Genomic DNA, 24,195 nt, shown 5'->3' on the forward strand with positions numbered 1-24,195 from the left:
TATGAAAATCAATAAACATAATCCAGCATATAAACAGAACCAAAGACAAAAACCACATGATTATCTCAATAGATGCAGAAAAGGCCTTTGACAAAATTCAACAACCATTCATGCTAAAAACTCTCAATAAATTAGGTATTGATGGGATGTATCTCAAAATAATAAGAGCTATCCATGACGAACCCACAGCCAATATCATACTGAATGGACAAAAACTGGAACCATTCCCTTTGAAAACTGGCACAAGACAGGGATGCCCTCTCTCACCACTCCTATTCAACATAGTGTTGGAAGTTCTGGCCAGGGCAATCAGGCAGGAGAAGGAAATAAAGGGCATTCAATTAGGAAAAGAGGAAGTCAAATTGTCCCTGTTTGCAGACGACATGATTGTATATCTAGAAAACCCCATTGTCTCAGCCCAAAATCTCCTTAAGCTGATAAGCAACTTCAGCAAAGTCTCAGGATACAAAATCAATGTGCAAAAATCACAAGCATTCTTATACACCAATAACAGACAAACAGAGAGCCAAATCATGAGTGAACTCCCATTCACAATTGCTTCAAAGAGGATAAAATACCTAGGAATCCAACTTACAAGGGATGTGAAGGACCTCTTCAAGGAGAACTACAAACCACTGCTCAATGAAATAAAAGAGGACACAAACAAATGGAAGAACATTCCATACTCATGGGTAGGAAGAATCAGTATCGTGAAAATGGCCATACTGCCCAAGGTAATTTATAGAATCAATGCCATCCCCATCAAGCTACCAATGACTTTCTTCACAGAATTGAAAAAACTACTTTAAAGTTCATATGGAACCAAAAAAGAGCCTGCATTGCCAAGTCAATCCTAAGCCAAAAGAACAAAGCTGGAGGCATCATGCTACCTGACTTCAAACTATACTACAAGGCTATAGTAACCAAAACAGCATAGTACTGGTACCAAAACAGAGATATAGACCAATGGAACAGAACAGAGCCCTCAGAAATAACGCCGCATATCTACAACTATCTGATATTTGACAAACCTGACAAAAACAAGCAATGGGGAAAGGATTCCCTATTTAATAAATGGTGCTGGGAAAACTGGAAAGCTGAAACTGGATCCCTTCCTTACACCTTATACAAAAATTAATTCAAGATGGATTAAAGACTTAAATGTTAGACCTAAAACCATAAAAACCCTAGAAGAAAACCTAGGCAATACCATTCAGGACATAGGCATGGGCAAGGACTTCATGTCTAAAACACCAAAAGCAATGGCAACAAAAGCCAAAATTGACAAATGGGATCTAATTAAACTAAAGAGCTTCTGCACAGCAAAAGAAACTACCATCAGAGTGAACAGGCAACCTACAGAATGGGAGAAAATTTTCGCAACCTACTCATCTGACAAAGGGCTAATATCCAGAATCTACAATGAACTCAAACAAATTTACAAGAAAAAAACAAACAACCCCATCAAAAAGTGGGCAAAGGATATGAACAGACACTTTTCAAAAGAAGACATTTATGCAGCCAAAAAACACATGAAAAAATGCCCATCATCACTGGCCATCAGAGAAATGCAAATCAAAACCACTATGAGATACCATCTCACACCAGTTAGAATGGCGATCATTAAAAAGTCAGGGAACAACAGGTGCTGGAGAGGATGTGGAGAAATAGGAACACTTTCACATTGTTGGTGGGACTGTAAACTAGTTCAACCATTGTGGAAGTCAGTGTGGCGATTCCTCAGGGATCTAGAACTAGAAATACCATTTCACCCAGCAATCCCATTACTGGGTATATACCCAAAGGATTATAAATCATGCTGCTATAAAGACACATGCACATGTATGGTTATTGCGGCACTATTCACAATAGCAAAGACTTGGAACCAACCCAAATGTCCAACAATGATAGACTGGATTAAGAAAATATGGCACATATACACCATGGAATACTATGCAGCCATAAAAAATGATGAGTTCATGTCCTTTGTAGGGACATGGGTGAAGCTGAAAACCATCATTCTCAGCAAACTATTGCAAAGACAAAAAACCAAACACCGCATGTTCTCACTCATAGGTGGGAATTGAACAATAAGAACACATGGACACAGGAAGGGGAACATCACACACTGGGGACTGTTGTGGGGTCGGGGGAGGGGGGAGGGATAGCATTAGGAGATATAGGTAATGCTAAATGACGAGTTAATGGGTGCAGCACACTAACATGGCACATGTATACATATGTAACAAACCTGCACGTTGTGCACATGTACCCTAAAACTTAAAGTATAATAATAATAAAATAAAAAAATACAAAGTTTATCTTCGTAATAAAAAAAAAAGTTTACCCCCCCCCAAAAAAAAAACCCTAGATGATGGGTTGATAGGTGCAGCAAACCACCATGGCACATGTATACCTATGTAACAAACCTGCACATTCTGCACATGCATCCCAGAACTTAAAGTAAAATTTTAAAAAAATAAAAATAAATAAAACTGCTAGACGAAAACGTAGATTTATTTTGCCATGACTTTGGATTTGTCCATTTTTCTCTGTGTTATGACACCAAAAGCCCAAACAACTAAAGAAAAAAAATAGATAAATTGAACCTCAATTTAAATCAAATTAGAAACTTTTGTGCTTCAGAAAAAAAAAATGTTTTGTACCTTAAAAATGTCTTGTGCCCTTTGGCCCAGTAATTCCACCACACGTGGAAAGCCATTTTAAGTAAGGATTATGAAATACTATTGAAAATTGCCTTCTATGTAAATATGTTCACTGCAGCATTTTTGTAACATTAAAATATTGGAAAGCAACACAAGTTCCCAATAACAGGTAAACAATTATAGAAAGTATAGGGTATCTACTAAATAAACTATTATGCATCTTTTTAAAATTATGCCTGAAAGAACAACAAAACTGCTTATGTTGTAATATTAAAGTACAGCTGTCCCTAGGTATCCTTTGGGGATTTGTTCCAGGACCTCCCACTGATACCAGAATTCACACATGCTCAAGTCCTTTATATAAAATGACATTGTATTTGCATATAACGTATGCACATCCTCTCATATACTTTAAATCATGTCTAGATTACCTATACTACCTAATACAATGGAAATTTTATGTAAATACTTGTTATGCTGTATTGTCTAGGGAATGATGACAAGGAAAAATAGCCTGTACATGTTCAGTGCAGATGCAATTTTTTAAAATACTTTTTATCTGCAGTTGGTTGAATCAACAGATGCAAAGCCCATGGTTAAGGAGGGCCAACTACAAAAGGAGAGTGAAAACAGAGAATGTACTGCGGCTATATAAAATACCAAAAAAAAGAAAAGCAATGCAAAATTAGATATAGTTGTCTATTAGAGCAGGGTTTTAGGGGATTTTTTTCACCTCATATACAAGTGGAAAACAAATTTAACAACTGTAACAAACTTCATGTAATATGAGCACCTTCTTCAGTTCAATAGGCAATTATTGAGACCCAATAAATATTAGGCCGTAGGATAGGTTCTGTTATCTGTAAACAGCCTTCTGTGTTGCTACTAAGAAATTTCAAGAAGAAATATGGTTTTTTTTAACCATGAGACATTTGAGTCTCAACCACAAAAAAAGAAAAAAAAAATGCAGGAACATTTTACTGAGATATACCAGACTCAACAATTTAGTTATGCACTTCCTTAAAAATGCCAGTGTCATCACCTGTGGTCTAGACATTTTTCCCAAAATAAGCATAATCAGTGATGCATAAACTCTACCCTTTCTTCGGTCATATTTGTGTAATGTAAACAGATCAGCTCCTGTCCATAGGATTTGTTCAGGCCATAGGGGAGTAACACTGGTACTTTCAAAAATAAAACCACAAATTAAAAACACAAAAAATAAATAAGTCCAATTTGGAGAAAAATAGGGAACTCCTCAAATAGCAACCCACTTTGTTGGCCAGAAATGTTCATAACTGTTCAAAAGCAATTCAACATACTCAAAAATAATGATTACCATTCATGTTAATTAATATTGGTATTAATAATGCTTTCACTAATTTTTATTATTTTTTATATCACATCACAATTTTAATACTAAATATTAATTGACAATATTAATGGTATATTATATATTGTTATATATGTTTTGTTAATAAATTATTAATATTAATACTAAGTTAATATTAATATGGTTGCACATAATTTTTTCATTAGTCTTCACAAAATAATTAATACCTAATTTTATAAGTGATAAAACTGAGGTTCAAAGAGGCTACATAATTTGCAAAATGTCCAGCATCTGGAAAAGGTCAAAGCATTTTCTAACAGAAAAAGCAGATGTTGCCAACTTGCTTAGTCATATCCTGTGCTTCAGCACTCTGCCTCCCTGAAAAACTGAAGCTCCTGAAATACAGTAGAGCACAAAGTAGGTCCTAACTGGATATTAATAATTATAATTATGACTAGCAATGTGGTTCCAAAATTATAAATTTTAAATCTGATATCTAAGCATAGTGAAAGTGCATTGCAAAGGAGAAGAAATATAGATAGAAAAAATGTATTTTAATCTAGTTAAAATGTCAAACTTCAGTATATTCTTACCCCTATTTAGCAAATTTTACTTCTTTACCTTCAGATGCCAATTTAAAATAATATGCTTCTTTCTTCTTTTCTTTTCTTATCTTTTTTTTTTTTTTTTGAGACAGAGTTTCGCTCTTGTTGCCCAGGCTGGAGTGCAATGGCGCGATCTCGGCTCACTGCAACCTCCACCTCCCAGGTTCAAGCAATTCTCCTGCTGCAGCCTCCTGAGTAGCTGGGATTACAGGCGCCCACCACCATGCCAGGCTAATTTTTGTATTTTTAGTGGAGACGGGGTTTCACCATGTTGGCCAGGCTGATCTCGAACTCCTGACCTCAGGTGATCCACCCGCCTTGGCCTCCCAAAGTGCTAGGATTACAGGCATCGGCCACTGCACCCAGCCTTCTTTCCTCTTTTCAAAACCCAGAAAGTAAAAGATGTATAGTCTCAGAATGTTGTGCCTTTCGAATTCGTATTTCAGTACTTCCAGTTTTCTGATCGAGTCTCAGTAACAATTACTGCAAACTTCTGTTTTTAAAAGCAGTATTGTATTTTGGTTTTCTTGGAAAACACCACTGGGAAGGTACATACACACTGTTATCACAATGACGCATCTTCAAGAGGAAGTGAACACATTTAATTAGGACATGAAAGATTTGGAAACCTTAGTAGTCAAAAATAAAACTAGACACTTCAGAAAGGAAATCTAAACTACTTTCCTTTCAAAAGGACTAAATGAAAGTTCATCAAAATAAAGTTAAGAGCCAACACATGAAAAGAGCAAAGTGATTAATGGTGTCCCTTCATCAAAACTTTTGGAATTTAACAAAGATTTTTGTTCTTCAACTCAAAATTGGCATCTCCTTCAGGGGGCAAGTTACTATCACTTTTACTTACTTATCTCTAGGAGCCTTAAGATAAAGAGAAAAAGTTTGCAGTCAGAAGACATGAGTTCTATTTCTTTTCCTGCAACTTGTCCAGCTGTGTAAAATAGAGAAAAGAACAGATTTCTGCCTGATTTACAGAGCTATAATGCCTCTCAGACATGATAACATAGGTGAAACTTCTTTGCAAATAACAAAGCTCAAGATCAGTGGTTCTCAAATGCTTTTGTTCCCAGGACATATTGGCCAATATCTGGAGACATTTTTGGTTGTCATATCTCAGAGTGCAGGTGCTACTTGGCATCTAGTAAGTGGTCCAGGCCAGGGGTGCTGCCAAACATCCTACAATGTACAGGACAGCTTCTTACAACAAAAAAATTACCCAGCCCAAATGCCAATAGTGATAAGGTTAAGAAACCCTGCCTCAGACAAATGTAAGCTACTCCCAGCTTCTCAAGCAATGTCTGGGGCCTAGGGACATCTCCTAGGTATGCCTGAATGACTGTAATCCTGAGCAGACGTTCACTGTCCTCTGATCCAGCTGCTCTCACTCAGCAAGAGTGAGGAAGCAAAGTAGTCCTTCCCTTTCTGTCATGGCCCACAGCCCGAGGAGTGAGTTGCTGCACAAGGGCTGAGGGGAAGACTAACAAACCCTTGTCTGACTCAAACTTACTAACACTCACTTTCCCTAGCTGCCTTCCAGGGAAACCAGCTGGTTGAAAACATACTCTCCAAATGGATTGAACATGTAGCTACTCAGGAGGCTGAGGCAGGAGAATTGCTTGAACCCAGGAGGCGGAGGATGCAGTGAGCTGAGACTGTGCCATTGCACTCCAGCCTGGGTGATAGAGCAAGACTCTGTCTCAAAATAAATAAATTAATTAATTAAATAAAATAAACATCTGTTGGGCCAGGTGCGGTGGCTCATGCCTGTAATCCCAGCACTTTGGGAGGCCAAGGCGGGTGGATCACGAGGTCAGGAGTTCAAGACTTGCCTGACCAATATGGTGAAATCCCATCTCTACTAAAAATACAAAAAATTAACCATGCGTGGTGGCACGCACCTGCAGTCCCAGCTACTCAGGAGGCTGAGGCAGGAGAATCACTTGAACCCGGGAGGCAGTAAGCCAAGATCAGGCCACTGCACTCCAGCCTGGGTGACAGAGCAAGACTCCATCTCAAAAAAATAAATAAATACATAAATAAACATTTGTTGCACATCCACCTGCTTTCCATTGAGGAGGATATAGAAAATATACATCTCCTGTTTAGTAAATAAAATCTCTGCCATCACCATATACAAGTTTAGAATTTAGTAAATGACACAACACAAACAACCAGTAAAGAATCCCAGACAATTCTGTTCATTCAAAATTACATGCGATATCACGCAGTGGCCAGGATAAAGACATGGATCAGAAGAAATGGAAAGGCCTTCAGGACACAAGGGGCAACAAAGGAAGGGTGGCTAGGATAGGTGTAGTTAACTGTATGTTTCAATATGACTTGACACAGGGTACACAGGCATTTTGGCAAGCCTTATTCTGGGTGTGTCTGTGAGGGTGTTTCTGGATGAATTAACACTTGAGTTAGTAATCTGAATAAAGCAAATTGCCCTCCCTAATGTGGACGGGCCCCATCCAATCAGCTGAAGGCCTGAAAAAAAAACATAAAAGCTGACCCTCTTGCAAGTCAGAAGGAATTCCTCCTACCTGCTGCCTTCACGTTGAGACATCGGTTTTTCCTGTTTCCAGACTCTGCTATAGACTGAATGTTGGTATCCCCCAAAACTCATATGCTGAAGCCCTAGCCCATAATGTGATGGTCTTTGGAGGTGGGGCCTTTGAGAGGTTATTAAATGAGATCATGAGGATGGGGCCCCCGTGATGGGAATAGAACACTATTCCCATCATAAGAGGAGATAAGAAGAGGAGAAACCAGAACCCCTCTCCCTCCAACTCCTGAGGACACAGCCAGAAGGCAGCTACCTACAAGCCAAAAAGAGGGCTCTCAGCAGAACTCTACCATTCAGGAACCCTGTTCTCAGACTTTCAGCCACCAGAACAGTGAGAAAAAATTTCTGTTGTCTAAACCACACAGTCTATGGTATTTTGTTATGACAGCATGCGCTGACTAAGATAGACTCAAACTGAAACACAGGCTTTTCCTGTGTCTTAAGTCTGCTGGCCACTGGACTCCAGCTACATCAGCTCTCCTGGTTTTCTGACCTTCAGACTCATATTGGAACTATATCAGCAGGGTTCAGGGTTCTCCAGGGTTTCAGGGTTCTCCAGGGTCTTCAGCTTGCTAACTCACCCACCTTCCAGATCTTGAGACTTGTCAGCCTCCATAATCATGTGAGCAAAATTTCTATTAATTAATTAATTAATTAATCCTACTAGTTCTGTTTCTCTGGTGAACCCTGAGAAATGAATTCTGGTACTAAGATTGGTTCTAAGGAAACAGAATGCTAAGGATTCGTGTTCTTAATTGGTTGTGGGTTTCTAGAATTGGCTCTCTAATCTGATTATATTTAAAGATGCTAGTGTCTATTTTTAGTGGTAAACAGAGGACTGATAGTCCATAGCATAATCTGGCAATAGGGAGACACAAAATATCTGCATTAAATACTCCCAAATAACCACTTATAAGAAGCAAGGATCTAAGTGACTACATATTTCAGGTATCGTTCTCAAATTAAAGAATATAATGACATTCGCCACTTGATCCTGTCAAGGTAAAAGAAAATGATGAGCCTAAGTTCTCTGCTTAAACTGTGCAAATAATGTGAAAGCTTCTATATTTGCCCTAACAGAGTTTCCTTATGTTCTGTAGCCACAGGGTTGAGATTGATTAAAATTAAACATAGAATCTCATCCTGCAACTGGCTGAATTACAACACAAGTTGAACTTTCAGGCCTATAGGCTGTCTACTGTTAAAATGATTAGGAAGTAGTGAAATTCTGAAAGTTGGAATGGGGATGTGTGAGAAGACCCTGATGAAGCTGGGGACACTAGGCCCCTAAACTGATGAGTCTTCTTTGCCGGTGGAAGAGGTATGTCCACCGCAGTATGAGAGAATTATCCTTGCCTTGCCTAGAAAATTGTAATGGTCTCCCTTGAGGCTGCTGCCTTTCAAGAAATGCTGGCTCCCCTCAGGGGACCCACTCCCACCACCTCTTCGCTTCTAGACTTGTAACTAGACTTAAATCCCAGCAGGCCCCTAAAGGTGAAGTACAAAGTGTGACCCAAGAGGAGGTGGTGTGCACTCCAAAAGAACTACTCAAGTTTTCTCATTTACACAAGCAGAAATCAGAGGAACATGTGTAGGAATGGACATTGAGTTTGTGGGATAATGGTGGAGGAAATAAAATTGAATCAGGCCAAATTTATTGATACTAGCTCACTAAGCAGAGATTCTTCATTTAATGTTGCAGCTCAGGGAGTTAAGAAACTCCCTGACTCTAACTGCTTGCTTAGTTCGTTAGATGAAACATGGAACAAACAGTGGCCCACAGAGAGCAAGTTGGAAATGCCAAACCTGCCTTCTTTCAATGTAGAGAAAGAGATTCAAAGGTTTAAGGAGATTGGAATGTTAGAGTGGATATGTTACTTAAGATCTACTCACCCATAATGAGAGGCTCTAGAAGGCACATCTTGACTGTGAGAAATAAATTTGTGAGAGGAGCCCTGGCATCTTTGAAGAGCTCTGTGATCACTCTTCTCCGTAGGGGCCAGACATTACAGTAGAAATAGCCCCCACTGGATTAGGATACCTAAATGCAATGGAGGTAACAGATCCTGGGGTGGCAGTCAACAGCCAAAGGCAAGGGGGATGTGATTACCATAATAAACAGCAGAGTCAAGGCGGCAGTCAGGCCCACCTAAGGCACCAGCTGTTCCTAGAAATGAAATAGATGGGAAACATACTAAATTCGAGTAAATTCTTACTTGATCTATATAAGTAGAAATGTTCTAGGTCAAGTGAACAAAAGTCTAATCTGAATGAGAAAAACACAGGGTGATGTCCCCTCTATCATTTCTAGATTTAAGCCAGTTAACAGATCACAATTCCTTCAATTAAGAAGAGGCAGGTCTTCTTGAGGAAGAACTCTGGTACACTGCTTAAAATATACACTGTTACTATTTCTACCAGCCTTCCCTAAAGTAACCTACAGCATTTAGCCAAGGTTACTATAGATTGGGGTAAAGTAAATAATCAGACCTTTCCAGGACTACTGAACACTGGTTCTGAACTGACAATAATTTTCCAGGAGAACCAAAACGTGACTTTGATCCCTCAGCCACAGTGTGGGCTTATGAAGATAAGGTAATCAATAGTGTTTTAGTTCAGGTCTATCTCACAGTCCTGACCCCATCATGTAGTTATTTTCCCAGTTCTAGAATGCATAATTAAGAGATATACTCAGTAGCTCACCAAATCCCCACATTGGTTGCCTAACCTGTGGAGTGAGGCTACTATGGTGGGAAAGGCCAAGGGCAAGCCACTGAAACTACCTAGGAAAACAGTAAACCAGAAGCAATACTGGATTCCTGAAGGATTGCAGAGATTACTACCACCATTAAAGATTTGAAAGACACAGGGATGGTGATTTCCACCACACTCCCATTCAATTTGCCTATTTTGGCTGTGCAAAAGACAGGTGGATCTCAGAGAATTACAGTGTATTATCTTAAGTTTATGCAGATGGTGACTCCAATTGGAGTTGCTGTACTAGATGTGGTTTCATTGCTTGAGAAAATCATCACATTCTCTGGTACCTGGTATGCAGCTATTGATGAGGCAAATGCCTTTTTCTCTATATCTATTATCTAGGAACACCAGAAGTAGTTTCAAGCAGTTTGAGCCCACAAGGCCAGAAATACACCTTCACTGTCTACCTCAGGGGTATAACAACTCTCTCTGGCCCAGTGTCACAATTTAGTTTGCAGGGATCTTGATTGCTTTTCCCTTCCACAGGATATCACATTCGTCCATTACATTGATGACATTATGCCAATTGGAACTAGTGAGCAAGAAGTAGCAATACTCTAGTCTGTTGGTAAGACATTTGCACATCAGAGGGTGGGAAATAAATCCAGTAAAGATTCAGGGGCTTTTACTTATGAAATTTTTAGGGATACAGTGGTATGAAGCATGTGGGAGACATCGCTTCGAAAAGTAAAGGTCAGTCATGGCATCTAGCTGCTCCTACCACCAAAAAAAAAGGCACAATGCTTATTAGGCCTCTAGAGTCTAGAGGCAACATGTTTCTCATTGAGGTGTGTTACTTCCACCTATTTACCAAGTGACTTAAAAAGCTGCTAGTTTTGAGTGGGGCTCCAAAAAAGGAAAGGCTCTGCAGTAAATCCAGGCTAATGTAAAAGCTAATCTGCTATTGAGCCAGGTGATTAAGCAGATCCAACCATACTTAAAATGACAGTGACAGATAGGAATCCTGTTTGGAGATTTGGCAGGCTCTTATAGGTGTATTGCAGTGCAGGCCCCTAGGATTTTGGAGCAAAACCCTGCAATACTCCACAGATAACTTCTCTTATTGAGAAACAACTCTTGGCCTGCTACTGGCCTTAACAGAGATTGGTTGCTTAATTATGGGCCACCAAGTTACCATGAAATCTAAGATCCCCATCATGAATTGGCTGTTATCTGACCCACCAAGCCATAAAGTTGGGTGTGCAAAGCAGCACTCTATCATCAAAGGGAAGTGGTAAATATGAGGTCAGGCCCAAGCAGGTCCTGAAGGCACAAGTATGTCCACTGCCCCCACTTCTGCTATACTACCCTCTCTCTTCTAGTCTGTACCTATGGCTTCATTGGGCGTTCCCAATGACCAGTTGACAGAGGAAAAGAAAACTGAGCCTTGGTTTACAGACAGGTCTATATAATGTTCAGGCACCACCCAAAAGTGGACAGCTGCAGCACTATAGCCTTTTTCCAGAACACTGCTGAAGGATAGTGGTGAAGGGAAATCCTCCCAGTGGACAGAACTTTGAGCAATGCTCCTGAGTGTTCATTTTGTTTGAATGAAGAAATGGCCAGACTTGTGATTATATATGGATTCATGGGTTGTGGCCAATGGTTTGGCTGACGGTCAGGAACTTGGAAGAAACATGATTAGAAAATTGGTGACAAGGAAATTTAGAGAGGAAGTAGACCTCTCTGAATGGGCCAAATGCATGAAGATATTTGTGTCCCATGTGAATGCTCACCAAATGATCTCAGAGAGGAGGATGTTAATAGTCAGTTGGATAGGATCACTTGTTCTGTGGGTAATAGTCAGTCTCCCTCTCCAGCCACTCCTGTCATTGTCCAATAGGATCATGAAAAAACAGGCCATAGTGGCAGGGATGGAAGTTATGCATGGACTCAACAACATGAACTTCTGCTCACCAAGGCCTAGCTGAAGACAACCACTGCCGACTTCACAATCTGCCAACATCAGAGACCAACCCTGAGTCCCCAGCATGGTACCATTCCCCCACAGGAATCAGACAGCTACCTGGTGGTAGGCTGATTACACTAAATGGCTTCCATCATGGAAGGGACAGCTCTTTGTCCTTACTGAAATAGACATTTACTCTGGAAATGGATCTGCCTTCCCTGAATACAATGCTTCTGCCAAAACTATCATCTGTGGACTTACAGAATGCCTTATCCACTGCCATGGTATTTCAAACAGCATTGTTTCTGATGAAAGAACTCACTTCACAGAAAATGAAGTGTGTCAGTGGGCCCATGCTCATGAAATTCACTGATCTTACCATGTACCCCACCATCTTGAAAGAGCTGGTTTGACAGAATGGTAGAATGACTTTTTGAAGACTCAGTTATAGCACCAGCTAGGTACCAATGCCTTGCAGGGCTAGGGCAAGGTTCTCCAGAACACTGTATATGCTCCAAATCAGTGTCCAATGTACAGTGCTGTTTCTCCCATAGCTAGGGTCCGGGATTCATGGGTCCAGAAATCAAGAATGCAAATGGGAGTGGCACCACTCACTATCACTGTCAGTGACCCACTGGCAAAATTTTTGCTTCCTGTTCCCACAACTTTATGCTCTGCCAGCCCAGAGGTCTTAGTTGCAGGGGGTGGAATGCTACAACGATTCCATTGAATTGGAAGTTAATACTGCTGCCCAGACACTTGAGGATCCTCCTGCCTCTGAAACAGCATGTAAAAAAGGAAGTTACAGTGCTGGCTGGGGTGATTAAACCTGGCTACCAAAAGGAAATCGGACTACTACTCCACGATGGAGGTAAAATCTGGAATACAAGAGATTCCTTCAGGCATTCTTAGTATTACTATGCCCTGTGATTAAGGTCAGCGGAAAACTACAACAACATAATCCACACGGGACTACTAATGACCTAGACCCCTCAGGAATGACAGTTTGGATCATCTCATTAGATAAAGAACCACAATCAGGCAGGGTGCAGTGGCTCACGCTTGTAATCCCAACACTTCAGGAGGATCACTTGAGCCCAAGAGTTTGAGACCAGCGTGGGCAACATAGCGAGACCTCATCTCTACAAAAAAAATTTTTTTAATTAGCTGGGCATGGTGGTGCATGCTTGTAGTTCCACCTAATCAGGAGGCTAAGTTGGGAGGTTCACTTGAGCCCAGGAGCTAGAGGCTGCAGTGAGCTGTGATTATGCCACTGCACTCCAGCCTGGGTAACAGAAGGAGACCCTGTCTCAAAAAAATAAAATAAAATAAACAGCTAAAGGCAAAGGGAATTCTGAATGGGTAGTGAAAGAAGGAGGTAATTACAAATACCAGCTATGACAATGTGATGTTACAGAATTCAGTACTGTAATTGACATATTTCATCCTTATTTTGTTATGAATATGATTGTATGCATAGTAAAATTTGTATATATATGAAATCTTTATTTTCTTCCCTCTCTTATTCTCTTCTCATGCAACATAAGATATAGTAACTTTATATCATAGTATTTAAGTATTGTTAATTTTACAACATAGTAGTTAATTTATGGGATATCAAGGAGAAGAATAAACATCACACAGGAATCTTACCTGCTTTTCCTGGGAAATGGTTAGTGTGCTTTTTGTTGTACATAGGATAGTTGTATCATGTTAGGGCAAAATATGACTTTGTTTATGTCTTTATTTGGACATTAAATATGTTTTAAGGAGATGTAGATAGATGCCAAGTTAATCAGGGGTAGACTTGTGATAGCTTAATGTGTCATCTTGACTAGGCAAAGGTGTGCCTGGATATTTGCTCAAATATTATTCTGGGTGTGTCTGTACAGGTGCTTCTGGATGAGATAAAATATTTGAATTAGTAGACATAGTAAAGGTTGCCCTCCCTTTACTATGATGTGAGTGGGCCCCACTCTAACAGTTGAAGACCTGAATAGAACAAAAAGATTAAATCTCCTGCAAGTAAAAGGGAATTCCTTCTGTCTGACTGTCTTTGAACTGAGACATCAGTTTTTTCCTGTCTTTGGATTCGAACTGAAACATCAGTTTTTCCCAGGTCTCGAGCCTAGTATCCTCAGGAATGGGACTACACCATCAGCTCTCCTGGATCTCTAGCTTGCCAACTGTAGGCATTGGGACTTGTCAGCCTCCATAATTGTATGAGCCAATTCCTTATGTATCTAATCTGTTTACACACACACACACACACACACACACACACACACACACACACACATACCCTATTAGTTCTGTTTCTCTGGAGAACCCTGATTACTATAGTAGGGAAAGAGAAATTGTATAGCAGGAGCAAAATGCAGGAAGCAGCACTAAGGATGGACCATTTGAGGTGATGAGCCTGACCCTCTAAAAAAAGGTTAAGCAATTTAATGGGTGAGGAAGTTTTTTTGAAGCCTATATCCCCAACCAGTTCCCCAGGGCAGATAGATTTGTAAGGAGAAAAGGAGGAGAGATTGGTCGACCTCAAGAAATCTAGATATTCTTCAGGTAACAAACAAGAAAGCAGACACAGGTGAATGCTTTGGTTTCCCTGGAGGTCTCTCTCCCCAGCCATGGCCTGAGAGTGATAAAGAGGGTTTTAGAATGGGAATGAGGGGGAAGAGATAAAATAGATGGGTAGGCTTTCCCTCTCCCTTTCCTTCTTTGTCCATTATCCAGGTTTACTAGCAATAAGATGCCCTGTCTGTGAGTGCTGCATAGTCTTGGTGATATGGTTTGGCTGTGTCTTCACCCAAATCTCATCTTGAATTGTAGTTCCCATAATCCCCATAAGTCATGGGAGGAACTCGATGGGAGGTAATTAAATCATGAGAGGAGCTACCTCCATACTGTTCTCGTGATAGTGAGTGAGTTCTCATGAGATCTGATGGTTTTATAAGGGGCTTTTCCCTGACTTAACTCTTCACTTCTCCTTGCTGCAGCCATGTGAAGAAGGATGTGTTTGCTTCCCCTTCTGCCATGATTGTAAGTTTCCTGTGGCCTCCCCAGCCATGCTGTACTGTGAGTCAATTAAACCTCTTTCTTTGTAAATTACCCAGTCTCAGGTATTTTTTCATAGCAGCATGAGAACAGAATAATACACTTGGCAAACAGAAGAAATACCTTTCCTTCTTATCTGCTTGGGACAAACAGAGCCCACAGCAGTGTAGAAGATCAAATCATGAGCCAACGAGCTATGAAAGAAGACAGAGGAGGCTCAGAATAATTCGTGTAACCCCAAAATTTGAAAAGAGACAGCAGGTCTTTGTATTTATTAGTCAACAGACATTTAACAACTGTATATAGCACAGGCCCCCTTGCCAGAATATGACTAAGGCCTGGTCACCCAGTGGCTTGGCTGCCACGACCTCCTCCCCAAGTGGGATGAGGTAATAAGAATTCTGGATGTGGAATCAGGAGACATAATTAAATCTCAGCTTGGCCACTTACTAGCTTGTGCCTCTAAGAAAGTTCGTGAGCATTTCTAGGCCTCAATGTTGTCACTTGCAAACAGGAGACATTACAATACTTTCACAGAACTGCTATGAGATATAAGTAACGTATGTTAGTGGTATGCAATAAGCTTTAGACAAATACCAGATGAAGTCAGTGCCCCATAAATGTTGTTTTCCTTCCTTTTCTGTTGGTATGCGCTCTGATTTTTCCATTCTGGTGAAAGATTGCTCTGTGCTGCATTGCAGAAGCAACCTTACCATTTCCTACCCTAAAATTCCTGTCCCAGACCCCAAGTCCAGCATCCTGAAGATGCCTTTCACCCCTTCTGGAAGTCTCAATGGCTCCAAGTACCCTCTAGATTCCTGCTCCTCCCCTTATTTGATTCCTTCTGTTTCTATCCTGCTTCTCTAGGGTATGGTCATAGCACAGTGTTGGACTTTCTGCTAACTTTAGGGTGATCTGATAAAGGTAAGAGCAAGGGCATTTGGTTGCCAACAGCCTCTCCTACTGCAAGGGGGGAGGGGACTTGTATGATCTTATGAGCTTGGATGTCCCTCCAAGAGGCTTTGACCAGTAACAGGCACAGATTCTACAAGGAATCCTTGGTAAATCATAGCCTCAGGGTTAATCGTTAATCTCTCTGGGACTAGGAAATAACCATGAAATCTGCCTCTGGAAGGCCCAGTGTTCCTATAGGGCTACCCCTTCCCCATATACCTGCTGGATGTCTGATTATTTTATATATGTTGATGATTAGCCTGCCCAGTGGATGTTCCCAGGTGAAGCAGCTCACATAATTTGAGGATAACAAGGATTCTCCATAAGCAAATCACAGCGTGTTATTACATCTTGCTTATTATTTTCCCAACAGTGGAAATAAATTTTCATTCTTCCTTTTTGACAAAACCACAACACGAATGATGCATTATGCAAAAAAAAAAATACAACCATCTTATGGACATATTATCCGTTTCTCAAACACTTTATTCTGTTCAACACCTCTGTTTTCTCTTATCAACTGCCTGTCCTAATCCCGTCAGTAAAGGTTCCAAATTTCATCCTCCCTCCTCCCTCTTAACAGATGACCTAACCTCCTACACACTAAGGAAGCTGAAGCCATTAACCAAAAATTCCAACTTTCCTCTCCTCCAATCCCAATGTCTATAATGTGATGATAAACGGGAACCAGGAAGTCCATAGCTCTGCAGAAGAGCCTTGTGTCTTGGCCAAAGAGAAAAGCCCTTTCTGAGAAATCTAGAAGTGATCGTTTGGTAGTGGTGAAGGCACAAAGCAACATTATCTAGAAGGGAGAAGGAAAGTTAGTCATTACCACCATCAACAAAACATGCTTCTTTCCCCTTAGTAGAGTCAGCACTCAGCAAGAGTCTAAGGAAGAAGGTGACACAATGCTCTGTGGTGGTGCAATAAGGGATCTCAGAAGGAATCAGACCAAATTAGTTTTACATTTCCTTAAAATTTCTCACATCCTTGCCTTTGCATTCCTATCTCCCAATCTTTCATTCATTCATATGATCAATAACTACTGAAATTTCTATGTGCCAGCACTCATGTAGGTAGTGAAGACAGCAGTAATCAAAAATAGGGGAGTAAATGAAATAAATAAATATATAGTATGATAGAAGATGATATTTGCTAGGCAAAAGCAGGAGATGGGAATTTCTGTCAGGGAAGGGAGTCATTGCAACTACAAATAGGATAGTCGGACAAGCCATTTCTCAAAAGGTGACATGCAAGTCCTGAAGGAAATGAAAGAGTTTGCCATGCAGATATCTGCGAAACCATTATAAGCAGAGGGGAAAACAAGTGCAAAGACTCTGAGGCAGGAGACAGCCCAATGCGCATTCAAGGAACATGGAGAAAAATAGAAATGGGAAAGGATATGGTGATGCAGCAAGGGAGAGACACTAGGGGTATTATTTTTCCCTTCTCTATCCCCTTTGCCTTCCTAACTCAACTGATTGTTCAAGATCTGGCTCAGATTATACTTCTTCCAAGAAGCCTTCTCTGAATATCCCTCCCCAAATTGGATAAGAGTAACCCTTTTTCATACTCTCATGGCATTCTAAACAATCTTTTCTTAAGGAACTTACACACTGTATTCTGATAACATGTTTTACAGGTACTTAATAAGTGCTCACAAAATGTTTGTTGAAGGAATAAAAGGATGGATGGATGGATGGATGGGTGGATGCATGGATAAATGAATGAATGGATAGATAAGATGGAATGAAATGGAAAGTGAATGAAAGTAGTGAAGACACTAGCTGAAGCTAACTGGAAAAGAAGTACTGACAATGGAAATAAAAAGGAACAGACAGGTGTTAGAGACATTATTGAAGTAAAATGACAATATCTGGCAACTTTATGAATATTAAAGTGGACAAGGAGAAAAAGAACTTTAAATGATCCTACAGGTTCTAGGAATTAAAAGGCTTAGGATGGTCATGTCTGATTTCTTCATCCATTTTAACAGCCCTTTATTGAGTTTTTCCTAAATTTCACTCCCTGTGCTAAGTGCTGGTAAGGCAAAGCTAAATAAGTCATGATCTCTCCCATCAAAGGAATATAGAATACCAGCACGAGACCACACAAAGCAAGGCCACAATCCTACTGTGCTGATGTAACATTGCAGCGCACTATTGTACAGCAGTAAATAGCACCTGCAGAATTTTTGACTCTTGAAGTTGGCAGTATGGCATGGGGGAAAGTGTAAGAGCTTTAAAGTCAAGAATCTTCAATTCCAACTCTGCACCTGAATATAGGAGACCTTGAGAAACCGTTTAAACTCTCTAAGTTTGGCTCTCCTCATTTGCAAACAATGAGACAATAAAACATACTTTGTATGGTTGGTAATAAAATGTAAAGGGATGATATATGGGTAAACAACTAACACGGTACCTTAGAATACTAGGAGCTTTAGCAATATCATTTGGCTTCCTTCTCCCTTGGTCCAAAGTTCAGCAAGTGGCAAGATTGCACCATAAATCCCAGGGATTCAAAATTTGCATCAGACTCACTTTCAGACATACATTCAGTATCATGCTTACATTTAGTGTCTTCCATATTTTAGTCTGTACTGACATTTTAATAACCCTAAGAAAACACCTCCAACTTTAATATCTGGAGACCAAGTTCATTACGAGAGGACAAGAGGGAATAAAGCAGATACCAAATTACTTTTTATATTCAGCATAAAAATAATTTTAGAAGTTTTATACAAACTTCCAATGTTCAATTAGACAGGACTCTACAATCACTGAAGTATTTCCATTGAATCATTGGCAAAGTCATCTATAGAAGTAAAGATCTCTCCTCAAAGAGTCCATGCAACCTCTCTCATTGAAACAGTTCTTCCCTGTTATATCTGCAAGTCTATGTTTCAATACTGAATATTTACATAGTGGTATTACTGAAATTTCAATCATATCTGCCACAGGAGAATTTGGGGGATCAGAAGTAAACATACTATTTGAATGTAGATCGAAAAACTAGGCAGAGGTAATCTCCAATTAATGCAGAGGCCCTTTGTAATAAAAGAACAGAGGAAAATGTGCCTATAGCATAGCAAAACCAAGATTTTTGTCTTTTTGCTGTTTCACAAGGAATAGGGTCAAAGAATAAGAGAAATAATACACACACCTCACACAGGACAGACGAAGAAGTTTTCTGGAAAACATTTATTAGTCCAGTGGAAAAGTGTGTTTGCCATCAAGTGTTTTAAGAGAAAAACTGGCTTTGGCATTGCCAATGCCAAAGAAAACCGGGAAGTTAATTTTATTCTGTAACCATTGCAACAGAGAAAGAGAGACCTCAGTATAGACAGACCTTGGCTCAATTCTGAAAACAACAATGAGTGGAGATTTACAGCCAAAAATCAGGCTGGGGGTCAGTAGATAGAAAATTATTAACAGAAAATCCTCAAAGATAAATAGGATTCTGGCTAAACTGATTTGATAAGACTTGCTGAAGGCAGGCCAGGATGATCAGACATTGAGGTTGGGGAATGAGGAATCTGATCAGATAGCAAGGGTAAAGAATGTTCACTAAACCCAGCAGGATTCTTGAAAGATGGACTAAATGGACCAAGGACAGAGCCCAAGAGTGAGGCCTAATCAAAAAGAGGACTTGGAGAAGCATAACTGAAGTTTGGTTAAGGAGAGAGTCTCAGTCATCAACAGAGAGAGACCCAACTGAAGTGAAAGTGACTACCATTCCTGGGGCACCCCTGACAAAGGGAGTCAGTGGGCCACCAGATGGAGGAAGACTCGGTGCAATCCCACTGGTACCTGAGGCAGCAGAGTGGTAAGTCCTAGGAATGGTTTGAGCCTGTCATTTCATTACCCCTAAGGAAAGGCAAGAGTGACCCTGAGGGCAGGGCCAGGGACTTTGGGTAGGGAGGATTTAACGAGAGGGCTGATGAGAGGGAATGGGTGGGACTAGAAGAAGTTTATGTATGTGGCTCACCTTCCTGAGGACCTAAAATGAAGCCTGATCCACCCCTCCCCATCCACTGTGAGGGAGTTAGCTCAAAGTCACCACTGATGATTCGCTCATCCCCACCCTCAACTCTGCACTGCTTTAGGACACTTAAGCAAGCTCTTCAGTAAAACAGTTGCTTGAACATCATCAGAAATACATATGCTATCCAGAAAAGAGACACAAGTCTTCAGATCAGAGCGAGTTGTAGGGAAAATACCTGCATACCCCAATGTGGAATGTTAGACCACAGTACCAACCAGTGAGGACCACATAGCTGAAAAAAAATTTTAAATCCCTCTGAATTCTGTACCCACTCCCATAAAGGAGAGGTCTAAAATAAACCCACTGAAGGACCAAAAGGAGAGTCCATCCATGTATTAATTGTTGCATGTTCCCTACCTGGAAGCTGAAGTTACATAGCACTTTACATACCATGTGAAAGCATTCCTGGATGATGTGGAGGGGGAAGAAAGTGATGAAAATGAGAGTCTCCCTAAGATTCAGCAGTACAGATGCTCCAAAAACAGCTACCAAGGGAGAGATAAAGAAAATATAAGGAGGGTGTTAGTTTTCAAAAGAAAGGATGCAGTGGAGCATCTTTTAAATTATTAACCCACCTTCCTGGTATGGCAATAACTACTCTTGGGGAAATGTAATATAATATCCTGCCCACCCAGAAAAACCTCTCCACAAAAGTAGAAGAAAAAGAAAGCCATTATATTATTGAATAATCATTAAACCAGAATGTGTTGTGCATCACAGGTAAACTAAAGAAATTGCAAAAACAGAAAGAAATCTCATCCATTTATACAGCCAAGCAGATGGAACCCATTCCACACATGTACTCAAGATAAACAATAACTAGTATTCAAGTAAGAGGACTTGATGGCAACATTTGTTATACATAGTTCCTCCTAAATCCACCTGATAATTGGTGTAGCCACGATATTTGCTAATTGACTTTATCCAGAGGAAAAATAAGTTTTTTGCATACTTGTGACTGGAAGTAGGTTAGTAACTTGGAGTCAGGGCCACTACTGAAGTTAGGTTCCTACCCTCTCCCAGAGTCTGGGAGACAGGGGCACTATCTCCTTGAATGATTCCATTTCAATGAGATAGCTCCCAAGTCCTTGAGGAAAAGATCCTTGGGTTGTAAAATTGGCAGACATCTTATTTAGCTTTTAAAAATTCTTATGGATATCTCAAAGAATCAGAGAGAGAACTCATAAATATAATTTTTATTTAAAGTAAATGTTCTAAGGAAAGTGGTGAGTGAGTCTCTTTCCCTTCTGGCACCAGGGCAAATTTCTTTTTGTATTTACCCTTACACTACCTCTGCCTTATTTACCACTGTATTTTCAGTGCCACACACTGGGAATGAGACAGTCTTTCCCATGCAACAATGCACTCAATCATGCAGTAAGTATTAACTCATTCAACATTGTTCTACATACTAGGAAAGGAAAGTAAATGAAATAGACAAAGCCTTGCATTCACAAAGCTTCTATTCTATTGGAAGAAGGCAGGCAGAAAGAAATCATTTTATTTTATGCAGAGTTATGTGTACAGGGTTATCAGGGACAGCATCTCTGGAATTTGAAAGAACGAGGAACAAGTCATGTGGAGGGCACTATGGCAAGGGGGTGTATAACTACTGGCAATGTAGGTCTAGCCCACAAGGCTTCTCAGCCTCAGCAACATTGACATTTGGGGCCACATAATTCTTTTTTGTAAAAAGCTGTCCTGTGCATTATAGAATTTAGGGCAGCACACCTAGCCTCTACTCACTAGACGCCAGTAGCTCCCTTCTTTCAAGTGTGACAACCAAAAATGCCTCCAGATATTGCCAAATGTTCCTGGCAGGGGAAGGGGACAAAATCACTCCTAGTTGAGAATCACTGGCCTAAGGTGTAACTTGGGAGTGAGTCTAAGGCAGTGATTTTCCAATTCATGGAATGCAGGTAAAGCAGAACTTAGAAGAAAGCAGAGCTTGAAATATGTAGAAAAGGACAAAGAAGATCAATAATCTAAGTACCTAATATGGTTTTGCTGTGTCCCCACCCAAATCTCATCTTGAATTATAGCTCCCATAATTCCCTCATGTTGTGGGAGGGACCAAGTGGGAGATAATTGAATTATGGGGGCAGTTTCCCCCATACTGTTCTCGTGGTAGTGAATAAAAGTCTCATGAGATCTGATCGTTTTATAAGGGAAACCCCTTTCACTTGATTCTCACTCTCTCCTCTTGTCTGCCACCATGTGAGGCATGCCTTTTACCTTCCACCATGATTGTGAGGCCTCCTCAGCCATGGGGAGCTGTGAGTCCATTAAACTTCTTTCTTTTGTAAATTGCCCAATCTCAGGTATGTCTTTATCAGTAGTGTGAAAACAAACTAATACAGTACCCATCTCAAAAAGCTTGAAAAACAAAAGCACATTAAACCCAAACATAAGAAATAAAATAATGATAAGAACAAAAATCAACAAAATGCAAAATAAACATTCAATAGAAAGAAAACCAACAAAGCCAAAAGCTAGTCCTCTGGAAAAGCTAATAAAGTGTATAAACCCCTAGCAAGAATGATCAAGAAAAACAGAAAAGGCACAAATTATTAGTATCATGCATGAAAAAGACCACCACAAATCTTGCAAATATTAACATCATAAGAAGATACTATGAACAACCAATGAATATAAAAAATTTGGATGAAATGGGCAATGTAACCATAGAACCAGGCAAAACTAGGACATATACAGTGAGTGATAAATAAACCTGTGTTGTATTAAGCCACTGAGATTTTAGAATTGTTTGTTATTGTACCACAACCTAGCCTATCTTAACTGACAAAGTAGTCTCCCCAACACAGGTCTGAACAACGGTGAGCAGTGAAAAATCTCCACATCTTCACTTTAAGTTTCCCTTGCTTCCTTGCTTGTTTTTATTATTATTATTATTTTTTTTAGACGGAGTCTCCCTCTCTCTCCCAGGCTGGAGTGCAGTGGTGCAATCATGGCTCACTGCAAGCTCCGCCCCCCGGGTTCACGCCATTCTCCTGTCTCAGCCTCCCGAGTAGCTGGGACTACAGGCGCCCGCTGCCACGCCCGGCTAATTTTTTGTATTTTTAGTAGAGACGGGGTTTCACCACGTTAGCCAGGATGGTCTCGATCTCCCGACCTCATGATCTGCCCGCCTCGGCCTCCCAAAGTGCTGGGATTACAGGCGTGAGCCACCACGCCCGGCCCCCTTGCTTGTTTTTGTTTAGTGTTTTACAACAGAACTCTGCCCCATATTGCATCAGAAATCCATTGAAGTCCTAAATGTATTCGATGGACTTTTTGAACTCTGTTATAAATATAGTATAAGTATACTATATATTATCATCTTTTCTGAAGTAATGCACTTCAGCTCTACAATAACCTGTAAGGTAGACAGGCTGCAGTATTAGTTCTGTCTCTAACCGACAAAGTGGCCTTCACTGATTTCCCCAGTTTCACTTTTCCCATGACAGTGTGGCAATGCCTTGGTTAAACTCAAAAGACTCTATATAAATCTTGGGAATAAGAATACACAAGTACTTCAATTCTTTTAAGCTGTAGGATGCTCAGTAAGATAAGAGAAAGTCTGGGAGAAATATTTATATTCCGGGATCCTCAGAAGCATAAGAAACTCAGAGAATGACCAATGGCCAAAAACTCTTTATAGATTTTTAATTTAAAACAAAATTATACACATGTATAAAAGGATGTAAGTTTAAACCAGTTATACCTATTGGTATATTTGCTAAGAAAAAGCAAATCACTTACCAACCTTTTCAAGAGCTCTCAACTCCTTCCTAGGATATTCATTCAACATTGAATAAAAAGTTCCTGTGTAAACTAGGTTAAATGTAATCTTCAAAACAGAAGCAAGTAGAACATTGTATAGCATAAAATATATTTATTGTAGAAAATAAATGGTATATATTTACCTAAGTTATAAATGAACTGTGTAGATCAGACCCATCACACTATAAATCATGTAGCTCCTCTCTTAATTAAAAATACTTCCATCCCTGCATCAAGTTCCTCTATGTGAAGGCTACATAAAACAAAAGTGCTTTATTGAAGCTTGGTTTTGCTGACATTCCTAAAATATACTGTTTTCTCAAAGAATGTCTTAGGATCCCAGAGACAACAACTGGCATTATTAAAATGGGTTTTTTAAGTAACATATGATGTACCCAGGGCAGGCCAGCACAATTCAACTCACATGCCCTGTTATTGTAATCCTGGCTAAGACAGACTGGTAGAATCAGTACTTCCTCCATATAAAACATATCAAT

The 24,195-nt window shown here is 40.1% G+C and overlaps 1 protein-coding gene and 1 long non-coding RNA gene across 3 annotated transcripts in view, besides 1 other annotated feature; both read right to left on the reverse strand.

Annotated features, from left to right (window-relative positions):
• Window positions 1-24,195, reverse strand: part of TNFSF4 (TNF superfamily member 4) — a 277,864-nt gene that overhangs the window by 153,343 nt on the left and 100,326 nt on the right. The window lies entirely within an intron of this gene.
• The window catches only part of LOC100506023 (uncharacterized), a 242,096-nt gene that overhangs the window by 91,153 nt on the left and 126,748 nt on the right, over window positions 1-24,195 (reverse strand). The window lies entirely within an intron of this gene.
• Window positions 7,700-7,799: an enhancer, noted in NCBI's record as "active region_2100". NCBI's record gives its function as "activates an Ori minimal core promoter by ATAC-STARR-seq in GM12878 lymphoblastoid cells {active_cell/tissue: GM12878}" and the evidence as "EXISTENCE:reporter gene assay evidence [ECO:0000049][PMID:35858748]".

Source organism: Homo sapiens, chromosome 1, assembly GCF_000001405.40.
Source record: "Homo sapiens chromosome 1, GRCh38.p14 Primary Assembly".
NCBI lineage: Eukaryota > Metazoa > Chordata > Mammalia > Primates > Hominidae > Homo > Homo sapiens.